This window comes from Homo sapiens, chromosome 15, assembly GCF_000001405.40.
Source record: "Homo sapiens chromosome 15, GRCh38.p14 Primary Assembly".
NCBI lineage: Eukaryota > Metazoa > Chordata > Mammalia > Primates > Hominidae > Homo > Homo sapiens.
Genome location: NC_000015.10, coordinates 40,588,380 through 40,612,172, shown reverse-complemented (window position 1 = coordinate 40,612,172; position 23,793 = coordinate 40,588,380). Strand labels below are relative to the sequence as shown.

At 42.6% G+C, this 23,793-nt stretch overlaps 1 protein-coding gene and 2 non-coding genes across 4 annotated transcripts in view, besides 5 other annotated features; 2 read left to right on the top strand and 1 right to left on the bottom strand.

The window, feature by feature from the left end:
* KNL1 (kinetochore scaffold 1) overlaps positions 1-17,924 on the bottom strand; it is a 70,094-nt gene extending 52,170 nt beyond the window's left edge. The window contains exons 1-8 of one of the 2 annotated variants that reach the window (NM_170589.5): positions 17,781-17,924; positions 9,207-9,258; positions 7,024-7,063; positions 5,721-5,780; positions 3,265-3,326; positions 1,876-1,928; positions 1,297-1,374; positions 662-695 (exon numbers count right to left, since the gene is read on the bottom strand). In NM_170589.5, the coding sequence (NP_733468.3) occupies positions 662-695; positions 1,297-1,374; positions 1,876-1,928; positions 3,265-3,326; positions 5,721-5,780; positions 7,024-7,063; positions 9,207-9,241 (362 nt within the window). In that variant the 5' untranslated portion in view covers positions 9,242-9,258; positions 17,781-17,924. The remainder of the gene's footprint in view (positions 1-661; positions 696-1,296; positions 1,375-1,875; positions 1,929-3,264; positions 3,327-5,720; positions 5,781-7,023; positions 7,064-9,206; positions 9,259-17,780) is intronic. The other variant, NM_144508.5, reaches the window with a different exon arrangement.
* Positions 782-993: a silencer, noted in NCBI's record as "fragment chr15:40903378-40903589 (GRCh37/hg19 assembly coordinates)". NCBI's record gives its function as "represses an EF-1alpha promoter that drives an FKBP-Casp9 reporter gene in an ReSE screen in K562 erythroleukemia cells {active_cell/tissue: K562}" and the evidence as "EXISTENCE:reporter gene assay evidence [ECO:0000049][PMID:32094911]".
* LOC124903601 (small nucleolar RNA U13) lies at positions 4,861-4,961 on the top strand. Its single transcript, XR_007064828.1, has one exon. It is a non-coding gene; the product is annotated as a small nucleolar RNA U13 (small nucleolar RNA).
* Positions 17,445-17,764: an enhancer, noted in NCBI's record as "active region_9255". NCBI's record gives its function as "activates an Ori minimal core promoter by ATAC-STARR-seq in GM12878 lymphoblastoid cells {active_cell/tissue: GM12878}" and the evidence as "EXISTENCE:reporter gene assay evidence [ECO:0000049][PMID:35858748]".
* Positions 17,985-18,204: an enhancer, noted in NCBI's record as "active region_9254". NCBI's record gives its function as "activates an Ori minimal core promoter by ATAC-STARR-seq in GM12878 lymphoblastoid cells {active_cell/tissue: GM12878}" and the evidence as "EXISTENCE:reporter gene assay evidence [ECO:0000049][PMID:35858748]".
* Positions 18,267-18,348, top strand: TRS-GCT4-2 (tRNA-Ser (anticodon GCT) 4-2). Its single transcript has one exon. It is a non-coding gene; the product is annotated as a tRNA-Ser (tRNA).
* Positions 18,325-18,374: a silencer, noted in NCBI's record as "silent region_6339". NCBI's record gives its function as "represses an Ori minimal core promoter by ATAC-STARR-seq in GM12878 lymphoblastoid cells {active_cell/tissue: GM12878}" and the evidence as "EXISTENCE:reporter gene assay evidence [ECO:0000049][PMID:35858748]".
* Positions 21,952-22,001: an enhancer, noted in NCBI's record as "active region_9253". NCBI's record gives its function as "activates an Ori minimal core promoter by ATAC-STARR-seq in GM12878 lymphoblastoid cells {active_cell/tissue: GM12878}" and the evidence as "EXISTENCE:reporter gene assay evidence [ECO:0000049][PMID:35858748]".

The following is a 23,793-nucleotide window of genomic DNA, read 5'->3' as shown; positions in this document are numbered from 1 at the left end:
GGCTAATTTTTGTATTCTTAGTAGAGATGGGGTTTCACCACGTTGGCCAGGATGGTCTCGATCTCCTGACCTCGTGATCTACCCGCCTCAGCCTCCCTAAGTGCTTGGTTTACAGGCGTAAGCCACTGTGCCCGGCCAATTTTTTGTATTTTTTTAGTAGAGATGGGGTTTCATCATGTTGGCCAGGCTGGTCTCGAACTCCTGACCTCAGGTGATCCACCAGCCTCGGCCTCCCAAAGTGCTCGGATTACAGGCATGAGCCACCACGTCCAGCCAAAAATATCTCAATATAATCAAATCTGTACTTCTCTTATGATGAATAAAGATAACCATCTTTTCATTTGTTGAAGAGCTACTGGTATTTGCCTTTCTATGTAATAATATTATAAGAAAGATTAATTTAATAAAAAAACTAAAGACTTGCTATCTATTGTTTTATATTAGTTAATAAATATAAAGGTTTATATATTATATTGTTTCATCACTATTAAAACTATAAACAGTACAATGGCCATATTAATCAGATATAGCAGTATACTAAATTCTGCAAATAACTGGTTTTCTGAATTAATCCTAAGTATTCCACAAAAGGAACACAAAAATAAGAAATAAAAATAATATTAATTTATAACTTTTTAAATATAATTTGAATATTACTTACTGTATCAAAAGAAGATTTTCTCCTGTTTCTGTTTCTAAAAATAAAATTAAAATTAAATTTGTCCAAGGATACACTGATAAAGCATTAGAAAAATTACTTAAGGACAGCTGGGCCCGGTGGCTCATGCCTGTAATCCCAGAACTTTGGGAGGCCGAGACGGGTGGACCACGAGGTCAGGAGTTCGAGATCAACCTGACCAACACGGTGAAACCCTGTCTCTACTAAAAATACAAAAATTAGCCAGGTGTGGTGGCGTGCACATGTAATCCCAGCTACTCAGGAGGCTGAGGTAGGAGAATTGCTTGAACCTGGGAGGCAGAGATTGCAGTTAGCCGAGATCGCACCACTGCACTCTAGCCTGGGCGACAGGGCAAGCAAGACTCTGTCTCAAAAAAAAAAAAAATACAATAAAATTTTTAAAAAATTACTTAAGGACATTAACAACATTTAAAAAAATTATTAACTGCTGGACGTGGTGGCTCACGCCTGTAATCCTAGCATTTTGAGGCCAAGGCAGGCGGATCACTTGAGGCCAGGGGTTCGAGACCAGCCTGGCCAATATGGTGAAACCCTGTCTCTACTAAAAATACAAAAATTAGCTGGGTGTGGTGGTGCATGCCTGTAATCCCGGCTACCTGGGAGGCTGAGGCAGGAGAATCGCTTAAACCCAGGAGGCAGAAGTTGCAGCTGAGATGGCACCATTGCACTGCAGCCTGGGGAACAACAGTGAAAATCCGTCTCAAAATAAATAAATAAATAAATTTACTTACTATCCACTCTACTCTCTACTCCCAAGACTCAAGGTATACTTTTTTTGTTTTTGAGACAGAGTCTTGCTCTGTTGCCCAGGCTGGAGTGCACTGGTGCAATCACTGCAGTCTCAATCTTCTGGACTCAAGTGATCCTCTCACCTCAGCCTCCTGAGTAGCTGGGGCTACAGGAATGCACCCCCACACCTGGCTAATTTTTTATTTTTTGTAGAGACAGAATCTCACTATGCTATCCAGGTTGGTCTTGAACTCCTGGGCTCAAGCGATCCTCCCACCTCAGACTGCCAAAGTGTCGGGATCACAGGTGTGAACCACTATGCATGGCCCATCATATATTTTTTAAGCAATAAGATAGACAATAAGTTATATTAGTTGTCTGGTTAGATAGCTACAGTAAAATTTTTTAAAAAGCAGATTTAGCAGGAATTATAGTAACATACTTACCTTCCATTTCTGACTTTCTCACTATTTTCATATGAGACTCCGTCTGGAATACCCTAGAAGAGAAAATAAAGATTATTGAAAACCTGCAATTTGTAATCATTATCTTTTGGTGTTGATTTATAGTCTGTGTTGAGATAGGTCAAGATAATACTTTGATTTTAGCTTCCTCTTTGCTATGCCATATACTCCTAGTATTTCAAATGCCAAAAGTAGTTTACCACAATAAAATCTGCTATAGTTTTGTTTTTATTTTTGATTTTAAACAGGGTCTCGCTTTGTTGCCCAGTCTAGATTGCAGTGGTGCGATCACAGCTCACTGTAGCCTCAATCTCCCAGGTTAAAGTGATCATCCCACTTCAGCCTCCCGAGTAGCCTCACCAACAAGCCTGACTAATATTTTTTATTTCTAGTAGAGACAATGCTGTTATAGTTTATTTATTTATTTATTTATTTTTAACTAAGATTCTGAGCCATTTGTTACTGCAGAGGTTATAATTTTTAAATGAGCTCTGACTTAGTAATTATTATATCCCTCTCAATCACCTAAAATATTCATTTAATTCAACAAGTATTTATTAAACACTCACTATATACCTGGTATCATACTAGGGCCTGGGATACAAACACATGATCCTTGACTCAAGGAGCTTCCACTATAAATAGAGCTAGAACAGTGATTATAAACATTATTTCACTGGCTTTTGTTATTAACAGTTCAGGTATGGTAGCATGGACTCCATAGGAAGGGATCCCTTTTCACTGGGCTGGTTAAGAATAAGCTTCAAGGAGCATTTGACATCTGCCTTGAATCCGACCAGTTCATTCTAATTCTGCTAATATTAGGTATCACTCACTATATAGAAGCTATTCTTTTTTCTTTTTTGAGACAGGGTCTCACTCTGTTGCCCAGGCTGGAGTGCAATGACACTATCATGGCTCACTGCAGCCTAGAACTCCTGAACTGAAGCAATCCTCCAGCCTCAGCCTCCTAAGTATCTGGGACTACAGGTGCAGGGTATCATGCCTAGCTAATTTTTTTTTTTTTTTTTTTTTGTAGAGATGGGATCTCGCTAAGTTGCTTGGGCTAGTCTCGAACTATTGGCCTCAAGCAATCCTCTGGCTTCAACCTCCCAAAGTGCTGGGATTACAGGCGTGAGCCAGCACACCCGGCCCCTAGTACAATGTCAAATAACAGTTGGATATCATTGTTTTGTTCCTGACTTTAGAGGGAATGCTTTGTTTCTCTTTTAAACATAATACTGAATAACCCTTTGAAGAATAACTAATGTTTAATCAAAACAGATTATTCAAGTCAGTACCAATACATTTGGTTTGATACACAAAATACCAGTACCTATAATATTTTAGTTATTTCTGCTTTCAACTTACTTTATAGTATCTGCAAAGCTGACTCGACGAGAGTTTTTCTTATTTCTCAAAGCATTGGATTCCTAAGGGCAGAGAATATATGGTATAATTCTTAATAAAATCACTGTGAATTACATCTCCAGAGTACTATAGACAGAGATCAAGTCCTTTTTTTTTTTTTTTTGAGATGGAGTTTCGCTCTTGTTGCCCAGACTGGAGTGCAACGGTGTGATCTTGGCTCACCACAGCCTCTGCCTCCCGGATTCAAGCGATTCTCCTGCCTCAGCCTCCCGAGTAGCTGGGATTACAGGCATACGTCACCACGACCAACTAATTCTGTATTTTTAGTAGGGATGGGGTTTCTCCATGTTGGTCAGGCTGGTCTCGAACTCCCGACCTCAGGTGATCGGCCCACCTCGGCCTCCCAAAGTGCTGCTGGGATTATAGCCATGGGCCCCTGCACCCAGACAAGTCTTTTTTTTTTTTTTTTTTTTTTCCAAGACGGTTTTGTTCTGTCGCCCAGGCTGGAGTACAGTAACTCGATCTCAGTTCACTGCAACCTCTGCCTCTCAGGTTCAAGTGATTTTCATGTCTCAACCTCTAATTTTTTGTATTTTTAGTAGAGATGGGGTTTCACCATGTTGACTAGGCTGGTCTCAAACTCCTGACCTCAAGTGATCCTCCCGCCTCAGCTTTCCAAAGTGCTAGGATTACAGGCATGAGCCACTGCACCCGGCCAGAGATCAAGTCTTATTCTGAATTACTTCTTCACATTTTGTAGTATGTGTCAGAATTTCCTTCTTTTTTTCAAGGCTGAATGATATTTCACTGCATGTATATATTACCACATTTTGTTTATCCATTCATCCATCAATGGACACTTGAGTTGCTTCCACCTTCTAGCTAATGTGAATAATGCCGCTATGAACATGGGTGTACAAATATCTCTTTGAAACTCTCCTTTCAATTCTTTTGGATATATATCCAGAAGTGGAATTGTTGGATCATATGGCAATTCTATTTTCAATTTTTTGAGGAATTGCCATACTGTTTTCCATAGCAGCTGTACCATTTTATACCCCCACCAAGAAAGCACAAGTGTTCCAATTTCTCTGCATCCTCATCAACACTTGTTATTGTCTTTTACTTTAACCATCCTAATGGGTGTGAGGTGATATCTCATTTAGGTTTTGATTTACATTTCCCTAATGGTCAATGATGTTGAGCATCTCTTCATTAGAATACACTATTTTTACCTTCCTTCCCCACCTTCTTTAACAAGAGCAAACATTTCTACTCACATAAATACCATACACAAAAACTAAAAGACATTAAGGATGAGCTTGCTGTCAAGTAAAAACATAAAATAATAATAATAATCAAAAGACAGAAACAAAATCCACAGAGAGTTTTACTGGGTTAATTCTGAATACCTAACCATAAGTCTTATTATAATAAAGAATCAGAAATGGTAACCCCTCTGCATCAAAGCAGTGATGTGATTAAGGCCCTAGAAGATGCTACAGGTAGCCTTGAGCTTAATATGACAATACTGACATGGTAAACACTGGGACTAACAGAGACTAATATATTTCTTACTGAAAAAAAAGAATACTGATCTTTTCGTAGTTCATAAGTGTGATTGGGTTTTCACACGCATGTGTGAGATGTGCTTTCTTCAAACTTTGTTACGATGTTGGCACATTATACATCTGACATGAAAAAAGAAAGGCCCAGCACGATGGCTCATGCCTATAATACCCACACTTTGGGAGGCCCAGGCAAGAGGATCACTTGAGCCCAGAAGTTCAAAACCAGCCCAGCCAACATAGCAAGACCCTGTCTATACTAAAAACAAAAATTTTTTAAGGGCTGGGTACAGTGGCTCACGCCTGTAATGCCAGCACTTTGGAAGACCAAGGTGGGTGGATTACTTGAGCCCAGGAGTTCAAGACCAGCGTGGGGCAACATGGCGAAATCCTGTCTCTATAAAAAATAAAAAATTAGCCGGGCATGGTGGCATGTTCCTGTAGGCCTAGTTACTCAGGAGGCTAAGGTGGGAGGATCTCTTGAGCCCAGGGGGAGGAGGTTGCAGTGAGCCATGATCGCACCATTGTACTCCAGTCTGGGCAACAGTCAGACCCTGTTTCTAAATAAATAAATAAATAGCTAAGTATGATGGCATGTGCCGTAGTCCCAGCTACTCAGGAGGCTGAGGCGGGAAGATTGATTGAGCCCAGGAATGCAAGGCTGCAGGGACTTATGATTGTGCCACTACACTCCAACCTGGGTAAGAGAGGGAGATGCCATTCCTAGAAAAAAGAAGAAAAATGAAAAATCAAGAATGCCAGTATATTCAAGTGTTTGGAAACTCATGGGATGCTTACACATTTCCTCTTCAAATAGCTAATAAACTTCTTGACTTAAAAATATAACTGAAAATAGTCATCTATAAAGTATTTGCACAAAAGACTTACCTGAACTCTTTCATTCCCACCTCTGAGGTCCTGAAGAGGACTCCTTGGGGGTTTCAATATCTAGGGTAACAATTAGAATTATTCAAAAAAAATCTGGCATATCTATTAAGAATCAGTTTATTTCAAGTTATATCATAGGTAGAAAGCTAAAATTTTCATTAAAAACTCTGAAACTCCTCAAATTCATTCTGCTCAATGCTATACCGTGTGGCAGATTTAAATATCTGACATCTATTCCCTTCTACCTGCCCATCCTCTCCAATTATTCTACCCGCTCTCATCCCACATGGTCTGAGTGAATGCCACACCAACTCTAGGGTAAAACACATAGCTCTGTCTAGAACAATCTGATATTCTCTTGTCAATGATGATTTGTTCAGGAATGAGGACTTGACCCATATCAGGATAATCAAGCTAACATGATTCAATTCTGAGTCTTTTCTGTTTTCAGGAAAAAGACACTATTCTTCACGTAGGACTTGGGCCTGGAAGTAAAAGAGCTAGATGTATCACAGTAATTATAGGGAAAGAATCTATCTGCTGGAGATTACCCAGAGGAAGCACTAAGAGTAGAAAAAGCAAAAGGAAATCCTAGTACTGGTGTCATGGTTAGAATCTCTGGTCAGTAAGTGTGCCTAAAGCCATCCCTTCGTTGGATTTTTTAGTATCATAACCCAACACATTTTGTGCTTAAAGCAGTTTGGGCTGGGCACAGTGGCTCACGCCTGTAATCTCAGCGCTTTGGGAGGCTGAGGCAGGAGGATCACTTGAGGCCAGGAGTTTGAGACCAGCCTGGGCAACATGGCAAAACCTCATCTCTTCTAAAAAATAAAAAAATTAGCCACACGTGGTACATGCTTGTAATTCCAGCTACTCAGGTGGCTGAAACACGAGAATCGCTTGAACCCAGGAGGCGGAGGTTACAGTGAGCCGAGATCACACCACTGCGCTCCAGCCTGGGCGACAGAGCGAGACTCTATCTCAAAAACACAAAAGCAGTTTGGGTAGGTCTTCTGTCTCTTGCAACAGCTTTGTACCACAGGTTAAACATATCTTTTAAACAGCTTTATTGAAGTATAACTTACATAGCATAAAATTCATAAAATTACTACAAAATTCATAAAGTATGAATTTTGGTATATTTACAGAATTGTATAACCACGTTAAATATTTGAGTCTTTATCTAGAGAGCAACAGGAAGCCAGTAAGGGTAGGATGGTGAAGCCACAGTCAAAACTACTGTGATATATGGTTATCATTAAATAAAAGCTGACAATTATTAATTCAAGAAAGTCTTTCTTACTGAAGAATGCCGTCTTCTAACAGGTCTCTCTATATTGTCACTGAAAAAGGAAAACAAAATTATATACACAGTGATTTAAAAAAATGAATTCACAAAAGGCATCATCACAGCACCCCTTACATGCTTTCAAACTGGTCATCACTTTCTCTTAGCACTCTGGCAAGCAAAATTTATATACAAGACTTTAAATTCAGTTAGGAATTCAGTGTTTTAAAATACATATTGTGTACTACGAGACTATCTCTTGAATAATTATCAGTACAACATAATTTACCATATTTATAGAGGTATAATAATAAGATAAATGGGCTATAAGTCAAGAGACGCTAGCTTTGGTTTTACTACTATACGATTTTTAGACCAGGTTTTGAAAATTCAAATGCCTATGAGGCTAAACAGATAATTTTTTAGGAGCAAGAAAAATAGGTAGTGTTGAGATTATAATAATCTAGAGAATTCCTCTCTCACCTAAAGGTCAGTCATTCCTCTGCTGTGGTTAGTTGTTGCCAAACAAGAATAGGAGCCCAGTGTTGCCACGCTTGATTTTTCAAGAGAAGCTGAAAACCCGATTGTACAAAATTTTGAGATTTTAAAATTTTGGCAACTAATTCAAAAACTAAAAAATATGTGTAGGCCAAAGCCAGCCACAGTGGCCCATGTCTATACTTCCAGCTATTCAGGAGGCTGTGGCAGGAGAATCACTTGAGCCCAGGAGTCCAAATCTAGCCTGGGCAACAAAGCAAGACACAGTCTCTTAAAAAGAAACAATCAAAAAATACTATGTATAAGCCAAAAACTTATGACTGCAGGCTGCAAACAAGCCACCAGGTTGTGATGTCAATTTTAGACAAATCATTTTTCTTCCTGGTTCTCAATTTTCTCATCCTTAAATTGAAGAGATAGGTTCTCAATTTTCCTGGTTCTCAATTTTCTCATCCTTAAATTGAAGAGATAGGAGATAGTATCTAAAGTCCCTCTCAGATTTGACCCTAGATGAGATGATGATGATGATGATGATGATGATGATGATGATATGTGAGACAGGGTCTTGAGGTAGGAGGCAGAACTTGACTCCACAGGTGGGGCTTGGACACAGGACCAAATTGAGGACTAGCTAAAACAGGTCTGGGGCAAAAGCACCTCCCCACAAGACACTCCCACCAGGGTGCCTTGTCAGTTTACCATTGCTATGGCAAAAACCCAGCAGTTACCTGCCCTTTCCATGGCAATGACCTGACAAGCTGGAAGTTACTACCCTCATTCTAAAAATGTCTGCATAAAACACCTCTTAATTTGCATATAATTAAAAATGGGTATAAATATGAGTGCAGAACTGCCTCTGAGCTGCTACTCTGGGCATACTGCCTACAGAGTAGCCCTGCTCTGCAAGGAGCTATACCAGTGCTGCTGCTTTACGCTATGCCACTTCAATAAAAGTGCTGTTTAACACCGCTGGCTAGCCCATGAATTCTTTCCTGGGCAAAGCCAAGCATCCTCCCTGGCTGGTAAAGCCAAGAGCCCTCCATTTAAAAAAATTTATTTTTTGTAGAGATGGGGGGGCGGGGGTGTCTTACTATGTTGCTCAGGCTGGTCTCAAGTTACTGGGCCTAAGCCTCTCAAAGTGCCGGGACTACAGGTGTGAGCCACCATGCCCAGAGTAGATGAGTTTATACAAAGTTATGGCAATGGCAAGGAAAGCTATGAGTCTGTAACATCTACTTCTTTTTGGATGAGTTCATGTACTTTGTAGGGACATGGATGAAGCTGGAAACCATCATTCTCAGCAAACTATCACAAGGACAGAAAACCAAACACCGCATGTTCTCACTCGTAGGTGGAAATTGAACAATGAGATCACTTGGACACAGGGTTGGGGAACATCACTCACCGGGGCCTGCCAGGGGGTGAGGGACTGGGAGAGGGATAGCATTAGGAGAAATACCTAATGTAAATGAGTTGATGGGTGCAGCAAACCAACATGGCACATGTATACATATGTAACAAACCTGCACGTTGTGCACATGTACCCTAGAACTTAAAGTATAATTTAAAAAAAAAAACTACTACTTTTTCTTGGAACACAATGGAAAAAGATCTCAGAAGTTATGGATAGGTCTTACTAATTAGAAAAATATCTTTCTCTGATAGAATATAATATTTTTAGCTGCATTAAATGAACTTACTTTTCTTCATTAGCCTCTGAAGACACCCCATCCATTTTTGAAGAAAACTTTTCTGTAACAAATATACAATATTAGAAAACATGAGGAAAAAGGAAGAGCAACTACAGTCTAAGAAAAGATTAAGAGTACAGATGGTGACTTCAGGGTTACTTTCTGAGGGAAGACCAAAGATGGGAAGGAAAGGCCGGGCGCAGTGGCTCATGCCTGTAATCCCAGCACTTTGGGAGGCCGAGGCAGGCAGATCACCTGAGGTCAGAAGTTTGAGATCAGCCTGACCAACATGGAGAAACCCCGTCTCTACCAAAATACAAAATTAGCTGGGCGTGGTGGCGCATGCCTGTAACCCCAGCTATTTGGGAGGCTGAGGTAGGAGACTCGCTTGAATCCAGGACGCGGAGGTTGCGGTGAGCTGAGATCACTCCATTGCACTCCAGCCTGGGCGACAAGAGCAAAACTCTGTCTCCAAAAAAAAAAAAAAAAAAAAAAGGAAGGAAAAAAACTACATTATGAAGATATAAAACGATGCATTTTGGCCGGGCGCGGTGGCTCATGCCTGTAATCTCAGCACTGTGGGAGGCCGAGGCGGGTGGATCACAAGGTCAGGAGATCGAGACCATCCTGGCTAACACGGTGAAACCCCGTCTCTACTGAAAAAAAAAAAAATACAGCACTTTGGGAGGCCGAGGCGGGCAGATCACGGGGTCAGGAGATCGAGACCATCTTGGCTAACACGGTGAAACCCCGTCTCTACTAAAAATAGAAAAAAAAAAAAATTAGCTGGGCGCGGTGGCGGGCGCCTGTAATCCCAGCTAATCAGGAGGCTGAGGCAGAATGGCGTGAACCCGGGAGGCGGAGCTTGCAGTGAGCCGAGATAGCGCCACCACAGTCCGGCCTGGGCGAAAGAGCAAGACTCCGTCTCAAAAAAAAAACAAAAACAAAACAAAAAAACCCACAAAAATTAGCCAGGCGTGGCGGCGTGCACCTGTAGTCCCAGCTACTAGGGAGGCTGAGGCGGAGCTTGCAGTGAGCCGAAATTGCACCACTGCACTCCAGCCTGGGCGACAGAGCGAGAATCTGTCTCAAAAAAAAAAAAAAAAAAAAAAAAAAGATGCATTTTTAAGGAATTTTTTTTTTTTTTTGAGACGGAGTCTGGCTCTGTCGCCCAGGCTGGAGAGCAGCGGCGCCATCTCGGCTCACTGCAAGCTCCGCCTCCCGGGTTCACGCCATTCTCCATTCTCCTGCCTCAGCCTCCCGAGTAGCTGGGACTACAGGCGCCCACGACCGCGCCCGGCTAATTTTTTTTGTATTTTTAGTAGAGACGGGGTTTCACCGTGGTCTCGATCTCCTGACCTCATGATCCACCCGCCTCGGCCTCCCAAAGTGCTGGGATTACAGGCGTGAGCCACCCCGCCTGGCCCATTTTAATAAATTTAAACCACTATTATAATTAATATTCCTGGAAAATTATCACACTCAAGATAAAAATCAGTGACTAACTTTGATCAGGATGCTAGGGACTTTACTGGTTCAAATAAAAATTTGGCCTAGCTTATAAGAGTTTGCAGATTATTTAATAATCCACTCCCAAAGTGGACATCAATTAGATAAGTGGTCCCCAACCTTTTCCAAACCAGGGATCAGTTTTAGGGAAGACTATTTTTCCACAGACCAGGAGGGTGTGATGGGGGATGGTTTCGGGATGAAACTGTTCCACCTCTGATCATCAGGCATTAGACTCTCGTAAGGAGCCCGCAACCTAGATCCCTCGTGTGCGCAGTTCACAACAGGGTTTGTGCTCCCGTGAGAATCAAATGCCACTGCTGATCCGACAGAAGGCGGAGCTCAGGCCGCTAATGCTGGGCTGCTACTGATCTCCCACTGTGCCATCCAGGCAGTGGACCTATACCGTTCCACGGCCCAGGGGGTTGGGGACACCTGAATTAGATATCTAAATATAGTGAATTTGCATCATATGTATATTTATCTGAGGGAAAGTCAACGATAAGTACTCAGCAAAAAAATTTAACACATGAAAATAGCACCTTATTAGCATAGCTGATAATGCTTTAAATTTCACTCAGTGAGTATTTGCCCTGGAAAGAATATGAACTTAGAGGCATAACGTGAAGTTTCCTGAACTGGTCTCAGTTCCTGCCTCCCTATATTTGATTTTCACTTTATGTATTAACTTTAGAATCTCATCCTTGGATAAGAAAAAAATGCCACTGCAGATTTCAAAAAAGAATAGCTAGAGATTTTGACTCAACCATATTAGCATTTCCACCACAACACTAAATTAATACAATACACATAAACAGGATCAATGTTCTTGCTTTTAGCAATAAGTAAACAGGTACCTGAAAGATATTTGATGTGCTTCGATCCACCTGCCTCTGCCTTCCAAAGTGCTGGGATTATAAGCATGAGCCACTGTGCCCAGCTATTTTTCTAGTTTTAGCCATTAAACTGTCTGTCTTCCCACCATGGGAGATCAAAATTTAACTTCCTTTCCTGCAACCACCTCTGAGACACACATACACACACACCAAGGAAAGATTACATGCCATTCTCAAAAGTATAAAAATCCCAAATAGCCGGGCGTGGTGGCCCATGCCTGTAATCCCAACACTTTGGGAGGCCAAGGTGGATGGATCACCTCAGGTCAGGAGTTTGAGACCAGCCTGGCCAACATGGTGAAACCCCGTCTCTACTAAAAATATAAAAACTAGTCGACATGGTGGTGGGTGCCTGTAATCCCAGCTACTAAGGAGGCTGAGGCAGGAGAATTGCTTGAACCCAGGGGACAGAGGTTACAGTGAGCCAACACGGGGCCACTGCACTCCAACCTGGGCAACAAAGTGAGATTCCATTGCAAAAAAAAAAAAAAAAAAGGAATCCCAAATAAATATCAGCAAAAAGAATCCAGCAATTTGTAAGAAGGATAATATATCACGGTCATGTTGGTTTTATTGCAGAAATGCAAAATTGGGTGGGCAGATATGGGGCAATGTGCCTGCAGTCCCAGCTACTTGGGAGGCTGAGGCAGGAGGATCTCTGGAACCCTGGAGTTCCAGGCTGCAGTGTACTATGATTGCAACCGTGAATAGCTACTGTACTCCAGCCTGGGCAACATAGGGAGACCCCGTCTCTTTAAAAAAAAAAAAAAAAAAAAAGGAATACATAATCGGTTTAATATCAGAAAATCAACCTTGCAATTTACCTTACTAACAGATTAAAAGGTAAAAATCATATAATCATCTCAACAGATGAAGAAAAAAGTTAAGGGCTGGGGGCAGTGGCTCACACCTGTAATCCTAGCACTTTGGGCAGCCGAGGCAGGCTGATCACTTGAGCTCAGGAGTCCAAAGGGGCCTGGACAACACGGCAAAACCCCACCTCTACGAAAAATACAAAACTTAGCCGGGTATGGTGGCTCGCACATGTAGTCCCAGCTACTCTGGAGGCTGAGGTGGGAGGATCGCTTGACCCTGGGAGGCAGAGGCTGCAGTGAGCAGAGATCAAACCACTGCACTCCAGCCTGGGCAACAGAGAAAGACCCTGTCTCGGGGGGTGGGGGAGGATGCTTAATGAATTTTAACATCCTTTCCTGTTTAAAAAAACAAAACAAAACAAAACTTTTTTTTTTTTTTTTTTGAGGCAGAATCTTGCTCTGTGACCCAGGCTGGAGTGCAGTGACGCAATTTTGGCTCACTGCAACCTCTGCCTCCCGGGTTCATGCCTCCCAAGTAGCCTCCCTAGTAGCTGGGACTATAGGCACCCGCCACCATGCTCAGCTAATTTTTTGAAAAATACTCTTTTTTTAAAGCTATAGTTGTTTAAAAAAAATTTTTTTTTTCAAATGGGCCAGGCATGGTGGCTCATGCCTGTAATCCCAGCACTCTGGGAAGTCAAGGTGGGAGGACTGCTTGACTCCAGGAGTTTGACAGCAGCCTGGGCAACATAGTGAGATCTTGTCTCTACTAAAAATAAAAATAATTAACCAGGTATGGTAGCACATGCCTGTAGTCCCAGCTACTTGGGAGGGTGAGGCAGGAGGATAGCTTGAGCCTGGAAGGTAGGTGGTGCAGTGAGCCGTGATCACGCCACTAGACTCCAGCCTGGGCAACAGAGCTAGACCCTGTCTCGAAAACAAATTTAAAAAAATTTCTTTTTAATACAGCAAACGAGAAATAGAAGGTAAGTTAACAGTATATATTCAAAAAACTAATAGGAAAGATCAACTTAATAGTTAAACTTTGAAAACTTTCCAAGATCCAAAAAGTATGACAGCCATTTACTTCTATTCAATCCAACATCTAATTCGATTTCCAATATATATCCCCAATATCCCCAACCCACTCATTTTTTTGTTTTTTTTGGGGGGCCGGAGGGGGCAGGGAGACAGGGTCTTGCTCTGTTGTCCAGGCTGGAGTGCAGTGGTGTGATCTAGGCTTACTGCAGTCTCAAACTCTTAGGCTCAAGTAATCCTCAAGCCTCTTGAGGAGCTGGGGTTACAGGCACCTGCCACCATTCCTGGCTAATTTTTTTATTTTTATTTTTTGTAGAGCTGGAGTCTACTAGGCTGCCCAGGCTTGTCATGAGCTCCTGGCCTCAAGCAATCCTTCCAGCTCTGCTCCCAAAGTGTTGGGATTACCGGTATAAGCCAGCAGGCCCAGCCTCAATAAACATTTGCTGAATGAGTAATTAAGAAACAATTATTTGACCACCAACTCGCATATTTTTTCTCCTTTGGAAATATTTTCTTTTTTTTTCTTTTTCTTTTTTTTTTTTTGAGACGGAGTTTCCCTCTTGTTGCCCAGGCTAGAGAGCAATGGTGCCATCTCAGCTCACCACAACATCCCCATCCTGGGTTCAAGTGATTCTCCTTCCTGCCTCACCCGCCAGAGTAGCTGGGATTCCAGGCGCCTGCCACCACGCCCAGCTAATTTTTGTACTTTTAGTAGAGACGGGTTTTCACCATGTTGGTCAGGCTGGTCTCGAACTCTTCACCTAGTGATCTGCCCGCCTCGGCCTCCCAAAGTGCTGGGATGACAGGCGTGAGCCACCGCGCCCAGGGGAAATATTTTCAAATTCAGTGCACATGTTCAAAATTCACAGATAATAACTACTATCAACTCAAGATCACCTAAATATCTTTGTTGTTTAAAACAGTCATTAAGCATAATTCCTGTCCAATCTGTAGACCAATCAGTTAGCAATTAACTGATAAAATTCAAACTTACTGAAGTCCCCCTTTTAAAATATTCTGTAACTGTTAAGTTCCACTTTCAACACAAATAGGAGACTCCAGACTCACAAGTTAAGCCTCATTTATAAAACACTGGTACGGCCAAACTCTTGATTATTGACACATTAAGTTACTGGTTCCCGGGGCCTGGTGCGATGGCTCAAGCCTGTAATCTCAGCACTTTGGGAGGCCGAGGTGGGTGGATCACTTGAGGCCAGGAGTTCAAGACCAGCCTGGACAACATGGTGAAACCTCTGTCTCTACTAAAATTACAAAAAAATTAGCAGGGCAAAAAAATTAGCTAGGCATGGAAGCGTGTTCCTGTAATCCCAGGTACTTGGGAGGCTGAAGCAGGAGAATCCCCTGAACCCAGGAGGTAGAGATTGCAGTGAACTGAGATGGCACCACTGCATTCTGGCCTGGGCAACACAGTGAGTGAGACTCTGTCTCGAAAAGAAAAAAAAACAAAAAAGTTACTGATTCCAAACTGTGTACCTGGCACCCAAGGGTGCTGCAGCATACTCACAATGGTGTCCTGGGATATTTAAAAATTTTGAGAGATGCACAGCAGTTCTGAACACCTGTCAGGTACTGTGTGAACTACTAGATCAAAACAGTACATTTGCATTACATTAGTTTTAATAACATCACTGTAAAGATAAACTGTTTGCAGTTGCTGTGATAAAAAGCAAGTACCTTTTTTTTTTTTTTTTTTTTTGAGATGGAGTTTCACTCTTGTTGCCCAGGCTGGAGTACAATGGCGCAATCTTGGCTCACTGCAACCTCTGCCTCCCAGGTTCAAGTGATTCTCCTGCCTCAGCCTCCCAAGTAGCTGGGATTACAGGCATGCGCCACCACGCTTGGCTAATTTTGTATTTTTAGTAGAGACGCAGTTTCTGCATGTTGGTCAGGCTGGTCTCAAACTCCTGATCTCAGGTGATCTGCCTGCCTCGGCCTCCCAAAGTGCTGGGATTACAGGTGTGAGCCACCGTGCCCGGCCCAAAAGCAAGTATTTTTTATTAAAGTACTACAGGAAATGAGGGTGACAGGGTATAAACTGATTCCAAAGTTTCAGAAGTTGTGCAGTGTCCAACAGGCACAGATATCCAATCAGTAAGTGTGATTATTTAATAATAAAATTTTGGCCAGGCACAGTGGCTCACACCTGTAATCCCAGGACTTTGGGAGGCCAAGGCAGGCGGATCCCGAGGTCAAGAGTTCGAGACCAGCCTGGCCAACGTGGTGAAACCCCGTGTCTACTTAAAAATATAAAAATTGGCTGCGCATGGTGGCGGGTGCCTATAATCCCAGTTACTGCGGAAGCTGAGGCAGGAGAATCATTTGAACCCAGGAGGCGGAGGCTGCAGTGAGCCAAGATAGCACCACTGCACTCCAGCCTGGGTGACAGAGCGAGACTCCGTCTCACAAAAAAGAATAAATAAATAAATAAAATTTAAAATATCATATTTTCCTTCAATTTCTGTATTTTTTTAAATGGCTACTAAGTTTGGGACATATATACTTAATGTTTGGACCCAACCACTGTACTCAATAAATAGACTGTTAGGTATTTCTTTGATCTCAGGGTGCCATGCATCAAGAAAATTTGGGAACCACTACTCTAAATAATCCGTAGGTCCTCAAACAGCGACTGAGCCCAATTAGCCTTTGAGCTAAGAGTGTTTTTTTACCCTTTTAATGGATTGTAGAAAACAAGGCAAGCAATAACAACTAAACAAAGAATATGTGACAAAGACCATGTAGCCTGCAAAGCCTGAAATATTTACTATCTGGCTCTTTGCCCACTCCTACATTTATACGACCGATATCTAGAGTTAGTATTTTCCGGGATTGTAGGAGGATAAGAGTGAAATGACAGAGACTCTAGACCTGTGCTGTCCAATATAGTAGTTATTTACATTTAAATTAATGAAAATAAAATAAAATTTAATAATCAGTTCTTTGGTCACAATAATGACATTTCAAGTGCTCCATAGTCCCATGTCGCTAATGGGTAGTATGTTGGAGTGCACATATAAAACATTACCATTTTCACAGGAAGCCCTGTTGGACAGCACTGCTTTACTGGCAATATCTAGAGTCAGTATCTTTTACAGTCTATTATTTAACATCGAACACATCATTAATACTACCATTCCAAACATTTTAATTCAATTTACATGTATTTATCATCTTGTAAAGATTTCCAGCCATTCGCAAAGTCAAGAATTATACTGCTTTGACCCTAACCTTTAATTACCAAAATTTTACCACATATTAACTCCCATCTGTAAATCATCTCTCCAACCAACGTCCACCTCAAATGCGGTCTTCTCCACAAATCCATCACCAAAAGCATCAAATAAGCTCTCCCTTTTCCGTGCTCCCACACCACTTTAGAATGTCCTATAATCTTTTACATTCTGTCTTGTATTCTAGTTATTTGTGTATATTAGTTATTTCCCTTTGTAAACCCCTCTAGGTTTGGGAATCATCTGTCCCCGGCCCTATCACAGGATAAGGAACCCAATAAATATCTACAGGATTCGACGGAAGTGAAAACATCAATTTTAATATCTAGACTGGAATAAGCTTCTGCTTTGGTCTTCATCCACATCCTTTATCTGTTAATGCCTATTAAACCTATCTGTAAAATTCCAATCGGCAATACTTTTTCCTCCCTCAAACTTGAGTATTTAAATAAACGTGAAGAATAAGGGCTTAAATCCTGAGGAATAATGAACAGAAGAGGATTTTTAAAAACTAATTTGCGCAGTACTAATATTGACTTCATTTGTTAAGGTTATTATACTTGCAGAAAACGAAAAATCTGTTACGTGCGGCCAGCACTCCGAGCAGACACCTTAAACCACGAAGAGCTGAGAATTTTAAAATCACTCATTGCTGTCACTTCATTTAGAGCCAAAAAAAGCTTAAGTGAGAAATACAAACAGCCGAGAGGTCCCTAGGGAAGAGCGGCAGGGGTGCAAGAAGAGTCCGCGAGCCCTGACAGAGGACGGCAGGGCGGGGCGGAAGAGGACGCCAAGAGAGCGACGGACAAGCAACCCGAGCCGGGTGGCCGGAGGGGCCGAGGTGCAGGCGGAGAAGTGTTAGGGAAGCGGGAGGCGGCACAACGTACAGGCCGAGGAGGGGAAAAAGGGCACAGTGTGCCCGGCCCGGGGCAGGGGCGTCTACTCGGCCCGGCGCTAACGGAGGCCGCCAGGCTGAGGGAGCGTACCCTACCTCCCACCGCAGGAACTTCAGGGCGCCCAGACAAAACCCGAAGCCTTCCCTGAAGCCCAGAACGAAAGAGTCATTCTCTTTACCTGCCGCGGCAAACCTCCTCGACAAATTTTGCGCAGACTTGTTTGGGGTCCACACGCTCTGAGTTTCCTTAGAGCGGAAACAGACAGCCGCCTCTAGCAGTCCGCTCACAACGCCCGGCTCGCCTCAGTGAAGTATTCAAATCTAACCGCCTAGGTGATGCGCACGCGCAAAGCGGCTCTACGCGTCGGCTCCGCCCCTTAGGTTCCAGACCAACCCTATTTCTAAGACTCCTTTAGGGAAACTACTTTCCCAGACTCCGTGCCAATTTTATTTCCTTCAGCTTTATCTCTTTTTCGACCGAATTTCCTCTGCCCCTCCCCAGTGGAGACCTCCCCCACAATCGTGGGAGCGGCCATCTTCTTTCGATTGCTTGCTATGGAAGTGATTGGACTTTGGCTTCCGTACAAAATGGCGGCTTCCATAACATTGCGTCACAGCCCCTTGATATTACTCCCTATAGCAATCAGGAAACAGTAACTTACCGGGACGAGGTGGCCGAGTGGTTAAGGCGATGGACTGCTAATCCATTGTGCTCTGCACGCGTGGGTTCGAATCCCATCCTCGTCGATGTGGTGGCTTACTTTTGCTTGTAACCAAAGTAAATTTGCAGAGCAGAATAAATTTTTTAATAACCAAAGTAAATTTGCAGAGCAGAATAAATTTTTTAATAACCAAAGTAAATTTGCAGAGCGGAAAAACTTGAATACTTATTATTTATTACTCAATTAATCTGGCACCATCAGTTTCAGGCCTGAAATGTTGAAATACAGTATTTGGAACGTTCTGACATCACAGATAAAGAAAAGGGAGGGAAAGAGACTTTCCAGGAATCAGAAATCATGCTGGATTTAATTTCTTTTTATATGGAGTTAACAACAGTGAATAGAATTCCACAATTATTACCATCCCATATGTTCCAATGCTGCTCTGTTCCAACTTTAACACAGCTCCTAACTGAGGAGTTTCAATTATTGTAGACTGTTACTCTGGGGTTTTTAACACCTGTCCTGATTATGAGATACCAGGTTTCACTTCAAAAGCTACCATGAGACACTTTATCCGGTATTTATTATCTACAGGCACCACATGTTTTACATGAATTACATCACTATAACCCTTGATCATGACAAATATTTTTATTACTCCATTTTACAGATGAGGAGACTGAAAGATTAGCTTGCCCGAGGTTATACAGCTTCTAAATTGAAGAAAGGAGAGTGTAACCCAAATCTACTAGACGCTGGCTTAATCACCCTTCTAATCTGTGCTGTAGATTAATAATTAGTATTTATCAATCCTACACTGTGCTGTAGATTAATAATCAGTATTTATCAATCTTTTGCAGTCATGGTTTACAGATTGTCTCCTCCACAAGGCTGTCTGCATTGCACCATGCTCCACAACACGGCCTCTGGCAGGTGCTTCAGCAAGGTTTGGGCACTGAGTATGGAAAGCAGTGGCCCCATTCTCTGCTGGCTCCAGTGGCTTCTTTCTGTTACAGATCCAAATCCGTTGGGAATGTTGATACCTCCTTGGGCTCAGGACATTGAGTCACCCTTCCTTAGCCTTGCTCTCCAATGCATTCTCTACCCTGCTGCTAGGAAGGGTTTCTGCTGGGTTCCACGCATTTCCAAGGGGTCCATGGATAGAATTCAGTGGGTTATTTGGTTCAGAAAAAGATTTCATCCTTATTTCCACACTCCCTAATTGAAAGCACATCCTTCAATAACGGTAAGCAACTAACTACAGTAATATTAACCTTATCCATTATTTTGTCACCAATAGAAATCACAGATATTTTTATATCAGATTACTGTTATTGCTTTACGCTCATTGCTACTTCAAAATTGTGGTAATTTTTAGACCTGCTATTATGTCTTGTAATGTTATGCATTCATAAAGAAGTGCATGCATTAAGCTGGGCGCGGTGGCTCACACCTGTAATCCCAGCTCTTTGGAAGGCTGAGGTGGGTGGATCATTTGAGGTCAGGAGTTCAAGACCAGCCTGGCCAACATGGTGAAACCCCATCTGTACTAAAAATACAAAAATTACCCGGGCGTGGTGGCACGTGCCTGTAGTCCCAGCTACCGGGGAGGCCGAGGCAGGAGAACTGCTTGAACCCGGGAGGTGAAGGTTGCAGTGAGCCAAAATCATGCCACTGCATTCCAGCCTGGGCGACAGAGCAAGACTCCATTTCAAAAAAAAAAAAAAAAGTGCATGCATTATTATATTATTACATCACAAACTTTGAGAATATTTTGGCAACTATTCCAACAAAATTGGTTGCCTTTGTATTCTAACATATTTAATTTTATACATTTAAAAACAACATTCTGGCCAGGCATGGTGGCTCATGCCTGAAATCTCAGGAGCAGCCCTTGAGTCCGGGAGTTCAAAGACAGTCTGGGCAACATAGTGAGGCCCCTGTCTCTACAAAAAAATTTAAAAATTTAATCAAAATTTAAAAAAAATTCTGAGATGAGATCCTTAGACTTCCCCAGACTGCCAAAAGGGTCTGTGTCACAAAAAAAAGGTTAAGAGCCCCTGAGAGAGACCTTTCTAAATCTCCCTGGAGACACAGATCTACCTTTCCTTGAACTAGGATTTTTTCTCTTTCCACAACACGTTTGTAGATACCGTCCCTGCTCCTCTCCCTGCAACATACCCCTGACCCCACCCTCTTCTTTCCCATCATGTCACTGCCTGGGCGGCTCCTGCTTCTCCTTCGGATCTGAGCTTAGAGGTCACCCCCATCAACAAGCCCTGCAACCTGCAGCTCCCTCTTCCATTTCAACTAGCCCGTGCGCTCTCTCTTGCTTCTGGACCTTTGTAACCCTCCTAGACGCTTCTGTGGCCTGCTAGGCTTTTCCCAGCACTTGCCAGGGAAGTGCTGGGAATGCATTTGTAAATACATTTTTATTTACATTGCCCATTAGTGCTGCAACTTCTCTAGAGACGCCAGGGCTGCATCATTTTCCTGAGGTTTGCCAGCTTCTTGCAGTGATAACTATAGGTCTATCAACGTCTGTGCAGAGCATGGGTAGACTTTTTTTTTTTTTTTTTTGAGACAGGGTCTCGCTCTGTCGCCCAGGCTGGAGTGCAGTGGCACTATCTCCGCTCACCGCAACCTTCACCTCCCAGGTTCAAGCAGTTCTCCTGCCTCAGCCTTCCAAGTAGCTGGGATTACAGGTGTGTGCCACCACGCCCTGTTAATTTTTGTATTTTTAAGAGAGACTGGGTTTCACTGAAGAAGGAATTCATGAATTTTACAAGTATAATCAAAGACAACCGAAAATTTTTACTTTTTCCTTCAAAAGCTAAGTGTAGTGTAGCCACCTCCCCCCCGCCCCGCCCCCAGCCAAGTTAGAGAAGACCCCCGGCCAAGTTAGAGAAGAATACTAACTGCCTGCTTTTCCTTCTGTGCTCGGCGAGCCTTATCTGTACTTGCTAGTTTCACATTCCTTGAGGCTCAGCGAGTTCCTGCTTCCCCTCCCTAGGGCAGCTGCAAAGTTATAAGGTTGGTACAGAAACATGGTTTCCCAGGGATGTGGAACGTGTAGTATAGATAAATGTAAAAGACTGATCAACTGTCTTTGTTCTCGCTTCTGTAAGTACCCTTCCTGCATCACGTTGCTCCCGGCCACTGACTGCGTAAAACGTGGCTACTTTCTTTGTCTGGGGCTCAGACTTTCCTGGAGGCTAGTCCTACTGGGCCAAGTGACCACCTTTTAATAAAGACCTTTCCTGAACTCACTCTGTTCGGTCTCTCCCATCTTTTGATTGTCCCGCAACATCACCATGTTGGCCATGCTGGATGGGACGGCGTGCTGCATGGGCTGGGAAGATTATTTTTTCAAAGGAAAATCTTCAGCTGTATAAGTTATGAAAATGAAATGTACTGGCAGAATATAGAGGAAAAAAAAGAAAAAAATTGTGAGTTGAAAACTCACTTTTTTAGGCTGAGTACAGTGGCTCACACCTGTAATTCCAGCACTCTGGAAGGCTGAGGTGGGAGGATTGCTTGAGTCCCGGAGTTCGAGACCAGCCCAAGCAACATAGGGAGAATCTGTCTCAAGAAAGAAGGAAAGAGAGAGAAAAAGAAAGACAGAAAGAAAGAGAAAGAAAAAGAAAATAAGAAAGAAAGAAAGACAAGAAAGAAAAAAGAAAGAAAGAAAGAAAGAGGCTGGTGTGGTCGCTAGCGCCCGTAGTCCTGCGAGGCTGAGGTGGGAGGATCGCTTGAGCCCCGGAGGTTGAGGCTGCGGTGAGGCGTGATCGGTCCACTGCACTCCAGCCTGGGCGACACAGCGAGACTCCGTCTCAAAAAAAAAAAAAAAAAAAAAAAAGTCAAGGGAAAGAAAAAGAAATACTTCAATTAGAAACGGAAAGAGAAGCTTGTAAGAAGCTGACAGGAAAAGAGTTAGAGGCGCCATCTACTGGAGCAGCTGCAACTGCAAGACTCGGACAAGATGCTCTTATCTACAGGGATGGATGCTCTCGTCTACCGAGATGGATGCTCTCGTCTACAGAGATCTCCATTAACTCCCCAAATTCTTCAACAAACCACAGCTCAAAGAAACCGTTCTCTACCAACACCAACGTTCTTCCTTGCAAGTACTATCCTCAACTATTGCAGGACACCTCAACCTCTGGAAGACCACAGCAAAGGACTGTTGCATAAATATCTTACCAAGATATTCCAGCTCTTTTACTATTGGAGTGTTAGGCAATGCGTCTTCATTATCTGGGGCCAGCTTTAAGAGGACCAATTCCCTCTTTTGAAAATGAGGTTCTCTGGGAATCAATGGCCAATGTTTATTATGAAATAATAAACTGGTCCACAGCCCAGACAGGCTGTGTGTGTCAGCAGCAGCCCTTATATGACATAGCTCTGAAGGAAGAATTGAAATCAATGCTTTGTTTTTGTTTGTTCGGTTTGGCTTTTTTTTTTTTTTTTGACACATCTAAAGTTTATTTCTTAACTCTTGCAAGAAAAACCCAGACCTCAGGCTCCAAGACTTGCAAAGACTGGTTTTGAGAGGCAGGCAATGACAGAAGTGAAGTCAATTTGTTCCTTACCATTAGGTTCTCCCACTGGAGAACCATCTCTGGGAACACAGTGATGACAGGGTCTGGAGAGGTTCCATAGTGAATCCATGCATTCTGCTCTGAGTCTACAACACCGACCCAAAACGTTTTTCTTTTCTAAAATCATTCCCTGAGATGTACTCTATCGTGTGAAAATACTACAACAACTTCTAGGAATGTCTAGTGAACTGAAAACTAAATAACATTTTCATATTGAAGATCAGTAGAGCAAAACGGAAATCCAGTTTTAGTAACATTGTCTAGGAAAGCCAAGATGAATGAGTAAATGCCAAAGACTCAGGGAAATAGGGAATAACACTTTATGGTATATCCCAAGCTGAGGTAGTGATGGATAGTTAGCCAGTTGTTTATCTGATCGTTTTCTTTTTTCCTTTTTTTTTTTTTGTGAGACAGAGTCTCACTCTGTCACTCAGGCTGGAGTGCAGTAGCGCGACCTTGGCTCACTGCAACCTCCGCCACCCAGGTTCAAGCGATTCTCTCATCTCAGCTTCCTGAGTAGCTGGGATTACAGGTGCGCGCCACACCACACCCAGCTAATTTTTATATTTTTAGTAGAGATGGAGTTTCATCATGTTGGCTAGGCTAGTCTCAAACTCCTGACCTCAGGTGATCTGCCCCGCTCAGCCTCCCAAAGTGCTGGAATTACAGGTGTGAGCCACCGTGCCTGGTCTAGAATTCTGATTTTTAAATTATTGAATAACACAGAAACTTGACATCTGAAAAAATGTTTTGTTTTTGTTTTGATTTTTTAGCTTTAAAAAACTGAAATAGTTCCTTAATGTCAGTTTCTGGGAACTCACTGAAAGGATCACTTCCAATCAACTCTCCTTTCAATGACTGTCAGTAGTCATTTTTTATATAACCTAGGAGGTATCAGAGGTGGCCTTTATTTCAGCCCAAGATGC